This window comes from Homo sapiens, chromosome 9 (genome assembly GCF_000001405.40).
Source record: "Homo sapiens chromosome 9, GRCh38.p14 Primary Assembly".
In the NCBI taxonomy this organism is placed as follows: domain Eukaryota; kingdom Metazoa; phylum Chordata; class Mammalia; order Primates; family Hominidae; genus Homo; species Homo sapiens.
Genome location: NC_000009.12, coordinates 35,912,489 through 35,918,718, shown reverse-complemented (window position 1 = coordinate 35,918,718; position 6,230 = coordinate 35,912,489). Strand labels below are relative to the sequence as shown.

At 50.0% G+C, this 6,230-nt stretch overlaps 1 annotated feature.

Annotated features, from left to right (window-relative positions):
- Positions 1,050-1,191: a silencer, noted in NCBI's record as "fragment chr9:35917525-35917666 (GRCh37/hg19 assembly coordinates)". NCBI's record gives its function as "represses an EF-1alpha promoter that drives an FKBP-Casp9 reporter gene in an ReSE screen in phorbol 12-myristate 13-acetate-treated (for megakaryocytic differentiation) K562 erythroleukemia cells {active_cell/tissue: K562(+PMA)}" and the evidence as "EXISTENCE:reporter gene assay evidence [ECO:0000049][PMID:32094911]".

Genomic DNA, 6,230 nt, shown 5'->3' with positions numbered 1-6,230 from the left:
CTATAACAACTTAGCATAAATATAGTGGCTTAAAACAACACAAATGTATTATCTTATAGTTCTGGAGATCAGAGACCAAAATAGGACTCACTAGGCTAAAATCAAAATGTTGGCAGGGCAGGCCGGGCGCGGTGGCTCACGCCTGTAATCCCAGCACTTTGGGAGGCTGAGACGGGCGGATCACAAGGTCAGGAGATCGAGACTATCCTGGCTAACACAGTGAAACCCCATCTCTACTAAAAATACAAAAAACTAGCCGGGCGGGGAGGTTGAGGCAGGAGAATGGCGTGAACCTGGGAGGCGGAGCTTGCAGTGAGCCGAGATCGCACCACTGCACTCCAGCCCGGGCGACAGAGCGAGACTCAGTCTCAAAAAAAAAAAAAAAAAAAGATGTTGGCAGGGCTATGTTCCCATCTGGAGGCAACTGGGGAGAATGCTTTTCCTTGTCTTTTCCTTTCTGGTTTCTAGAGACTCTCACACTCCTTGGCTGGTGGCCTGCTTCTGTCTTCAGGTCTTTCTTACATCACCTGCCCTGACTCCTCTGCCCTCCTCCTCCACAGTGAAGGGACATTTCTTACTGCATTGGGCCTGCCCAGATAATCTGGGATAATCTTATTTAAGGTCTACCGATTAGCAACTGTGATTTCATCTGCAATCTTAATTCCCCTTGGTGAACATAACATTTTCTCAGCTTCTAGGGATTAGGACATGGACATCTTTGAGGGATGATTATTATGCCTACCACAGATAGCGAACTCTGAAGGTGGGAACAGAGACCCACCCAATAGCCCTCTAAGGAGTTAGGTCTGTGTCCAAGAAAGAGCTCTCTGGCGGCCGGGTGGGCAGGGGTGAGGTGAGGCCAGGGAGGCCCATAAGGAGATGACATGGTGAGGTCTGCGCAAGCACAGTGACAGTGGGGATGATGGAGGACATGCATCCACCCCTTGCCTCAGGCCAGGCCCCACACCAGGGCTGTGGCTGTGCCTGTATCTCAGGAGGACAAGGACAGAGGGTCCCTGTATGAGCCACCACAGCCCTGGCTTCCTAAGTGGGGTCCGTAGGCAGCTGACAAGGCCTCAGCCTGGAAGTCGTAGGTGGTTGCCAGGAAGCTCCTCCCCAGCTGTGGACCCTGCTGTCTCCCTCCACTGCTGGGATGGGGAAGAGTTGCTTTGGCAGGCTCCTCAGTCTTGCCTGAACTGGGGAGCTGGGATTAGGAGCCTTACCCTGTCCCAGGAGGTGCAGGCTGGGTGTCGTACAGCCAGGCCTCTCACTCAGGCTAGTGAGCCCCAGGCTGCTCCCTGTACTCTCCTCAGCCCACCCAACCTGCCCAGAAGCTCCAGCAGCCACCCCAACACCCAGACTCCGGTGTTCCTGGAAACTTGGCAAACCCCTACCGCTTGCAACTCCCCAGCCTTGCCTACCTCAGCCATGTGAATTAGGCAGAAGAGAGGTGTGTGTCTGTGTGTATGTGTGTGTGTGTCCTTATCATTGTATCTGTTCTGAGAAATTCATCTGCCCCCATTTTTGTGTCTATGCCTGACTGTGTTTTTGTATCTCTTAGATTGGAGTTGGTTTGTTTTATAATTTTTAAAATAACTTTTGTTCCTTTGTTAGGTTCTTGCTCTTTCTTATTCAAGAGCAAATCATTCATTATGAGAAATTCAGATAAACACAAAGGGAAAACATTTAAAATGCACAAATAGGCAAGGCGCAGTGGCTCACGCCTGTAATCTCAGCACTTTGGGAGGCCGAGGTGGGCAGATCACCTGAGGTCAGGAGTTCAAGACCAGCCTGGCCAACATGGTTAAACCCTGTCTCTACTAAAAATACAAAATTAGCCAAGTGTGGTAGCGCCTGCCTGTAGTCCCAGCTACTTGGGAGGCTGAGGCAGGAGAATCACTTGAACCCAGGAGGCAGAGGATGCAGTGAGCCGAGATCGTGCCACTGCACTCCAGCCTGGGCAAAGAGAGCAAAGTTCTATCTCAAAAAAAAAAAAAAGTAAGTAAATAAAAAATAAAATGCACAAACAGTCCCACCCACCCAGAGACAATGGCCTATCAACACCTCGGCATACAGCTCTCCACATCGTCTTCTATGCGTCTAAGGGTGCAGCTACATTTATAGTCCTCTAATTCCCTTTTAATTTACCAACACATGATAAATGCCCTTTCAGGTTAATGAGTTTAAATTTACCTCATTGTCGTTAACACCTGCCTAGCATTTGATTCTGTGGCTGTGTTGCAATTTGCCAGCCCAGCCCCCTCCTGCTGGTGTCGAGGTGGTTTCTAACTTTTCACTATTACGAATATGCTGGATGGAGGCACAGGGCAGGGGGTGCAGGTCTCTGTCTCCAACTGAGTCTGCCTTTTCAAATGTCATGTCCTCAGGGGAATGGGGACCTGGCAAGGTACAATGATCCTTTTCTACTCCCTGGAACAAGCAGTTTCCTTTAAGGAAGGTACTTTTCCGGAAAACATGTTATTTCAAGGCCTCCTAGATTCCAGAATCCAGCCTGTCCCAGCGAGAAACGCCACCCTGGTTTCAGGTCCAGGAATGCGGAGAAAGAGCAGGGCGAGGGTTGGAGGTGGTGGGGAGGAGGGCAGGCAGAGCGGGGCGGGCCTCTTTCCCTTGACCGTTCCTGACAGCTGGGTTCCCAGGATCTTCACTCTAACACGTCCTCTAGACAAGCCGGGATGGGATTCTTACCTTCTCCGTACAGCCAGGGAAACTGAGGCCCAGCAACTGAGTGGCAGAAGTGGGGCTCGGATTAGCCTTTCCACGTCCCAGTCGGGCTAGACAGAACTGAGCAGGGTTCTCCCTGCTCTTTGCCCCATGTGGAGCTGAGAGAAGCCCCAGGAAGTGAAGGAGAAGCAAGACTCATTGCTCAGAGAGGCACGGCCTGTATCTCTGCAGGTGCAAAGCCTTAGGAAGGCCTTAAGCAGGCTGGGTCAGGACTGATGTCTGTTAACCCTTAATTCCAGCCGTCCACAGAAGTTTACTCTATGAGGGAGGCTTCCTGGACTGTCAATTAAAACTGTACAGGGCAAAGACCTGCTTCTTCTTCAAGTCAAAGATGCAGATGGGGCCGGGAGTGGTGGCTCACACCTGTAATCCCAGCATTTTGGGAGGCCGAGGCCAGTGGATCACTTCAGGCCAGGAGTTTGACACCAGCCTGGCCAACGTGGTGAAACCCCATCTCTGCAAAAACTACAAAAATTAGCCAGGGGTGGTCGTGTGCACCTTTAATCCCAGCTACTCGGGAGGCTGAGGCATGAGAATTGCTTGAACCCAGGAGGCGGACGTTGCAGTGAGATGAGATCGTGCCATTGCATTCCAGCCTGGGCGACAGATCCAGACTCTGCCTCAAAAAAAAAAAAAAAAAAAAAAGGTGCAGATGGGTAGGTGCCAGCAAGGCTTTTGCTCAGGTGAACCTGGAGCAAATCAGATCCCCTGGCTCCCTTCCTCCTGAAGATATGAACTGTGTCCCTGAGAATTGGCTGGATGCAGATATCACTTATGGAGGAAAATGACTACTTAGCACTGTTCTGCAGATTTGGTATTTGCCCAAAGTGGCTCAAAGCATGGGGGCTCGGTTCCCTCATCTGTAAAATGGAGGTGATGGAGTTGCTGTATACACTCATGAGAGGACACAGAGGAAGCACAATGTGCCTGGTGTGTCATAAAAGTCCAGTAAATGGGCTGGGCGCGGTAGCTCACGCCTGTAATCCCAGCACTTTGGGAGGCTGAAGCAGGCGATCACGAGGTCAGGAGATGGAGACCATCCCGGCTAACACGGTGAAACCCCGTCTCTACTAAAAATACAAAAAAATTAGCAGGGCATGGTGGCGGGCTCCTGTGGAGCTGAGGCAGGAGAATGGCATGAACCCCAGGGGCAGAGCTTGTAGTGAGCCAAGATCATGCCACTGCACTCTAGCCTGGACGACAGAGCAAGACTCCGTCTCCAAAAAAAAAAAAGGCAAGTAAATGGAACCAGCAAGAGAAGTAGAATTGAGAATGCTCGGTTTGGAAGCTGGGAGGCCTGAGTGTGGCTCCACCCCAGATTCCAGGGTGACCTTGCACAGCCGCTTCCCTCACTACCACCAGATAAGCACTCCCGGCTTTGCTGCATGTTGGCGCCAGCCTCAGTCTTGTCCCTGCACAGCCACCTCCTGCCCTTGGGGACAATAGGAAGAGGCCACCGTCATAGCAAGAGGCTTCCGCTGCCCTGTTGCTGGGCCCCTCCTGCTTCTTATACAGCAGGCTACACTGCGGAGAATGGCAGGGGTACCTGGGGCCAACACACACTACAGCATACAAAAACACACACACTCACTACACACATACAACTTACACACACACCACAGCATACAAAAACACACACACTCACTACACACATACAGCTTACACACACATCACAGAATACAAAAACACACACTACACACATACAACTTACACACACACCACAGCATACAAAAACACACACACTCACCACACACATACAACTTACACACACACCACAGCAAACAAAAACACACACACTCACTACACACATACAGCTTACACACACACTACAGCATACAAAAACACACACACTCACTACACACATACAGCTTACACACACACTACAGCATACAAAAACACACACTCACTACACACATACAACTTACACACACACCACAGCAAACAAAAACACACACACTCACTACACACATACAACTTACACACACACTACAGCATACAAAAACACACACACTACACACATACAGCTTACACACACACCACAGCATACAAAAACACACACACTACACACATACAGCTTACACACACACCACAGCATACAAAAACACACACACTACACACATACAACTTACACACACACTACAGCATACAAAAACACACACACTACACACATACAGCTTACACACACACCACAGCATACAAAAACACACACACTACACACATACAGCTTACACACACACCACAGCAAACAAAAACACACACACTCACTACACACATACAACTTACACACACACTACAGCATACAAAAACACACACACTACACACATACAGCTTACACACACACCACAGCATAAAAAAATACACACTACACACATACAGCTTACACACACACCACAGCAAACAAAAACACACACACTCACTACACACATACAGCTTACACACACACCACAGCAAACAAAAACACACACACTCACTACACACATACAGCTTACACACACATCACAGCAAACAAAAACACACACACTCACTACACACATACAGCTTACACACACACCACAGCAAACAAAAACACACACACTCACTACACACATACAGCTTACACACACATCACAGAATACAAAAACACACACCACACACACTCACTACACATATACAGCTTACACACACACCACATACTCATCATACCCACATAAAACACACCACACACATACAGCCTTATCTAGGAGTCCACGGGATCCAAATGTCCAGTTGACCCCCACGTTCCCTTGGCCGGGCTGGGTACACAGTCAGTGCCCAGTCAGTGTTTACTGAACGGAGGAGTGAATGAATAAGTGAATGAATGCATGGGTAAGTGAGGCGGCATCTACTCCAGGAGTAGATGGATGGGTGGGTGGATGGATGGGCAGATGGGCAGGTGAACAAATGAAGAGCGTGCCGGGCTTGGCAGACAGCCTGTCTCCTGCAGAGGGAGGCCAGGCTCCCTCCCCATGCCCGCTTCACCAGCACTTTGTTTTCACGGCCCTGTGATTCCAGCCTGCAGACCCTCCCGGACTGACCTAGTGAGTGCTGTGACCACACAGTACAAGAGCAGAGCCCTGGGCCTGGCTCCTGGTGAAGGGTGCCTGAGCTGGAGCAGAGCTGACTCTGGCTGAGGAGAGAGGGAGACTGAGGCCCACTCTTCTCCCTTCCAGATCCTGCACGGCCGTCTCTCCTCTCATAGATCTCCTGTGCCCAGGTTTTTCTTTGTGTCTGGACATATTCACCCACCTCTGACCAGTCTAGGCTCTTCCAAGAACAGGACCCTACAGAGTTTCTGTGGAGATGTGCTGCCCAGGTCCCCTTCAAAGGAAGGACTTCAGCCAAATGCAATGGCTCACACCTGTAATCCCAACATTTTGGGAGGCCAAGGTGGGAGGATCACTTGAGGCCAGGAGAGTTCAAGACCAGGTTTGGAAACATAGTGAAATCCCATCTCTACAAGAAAAGGATTT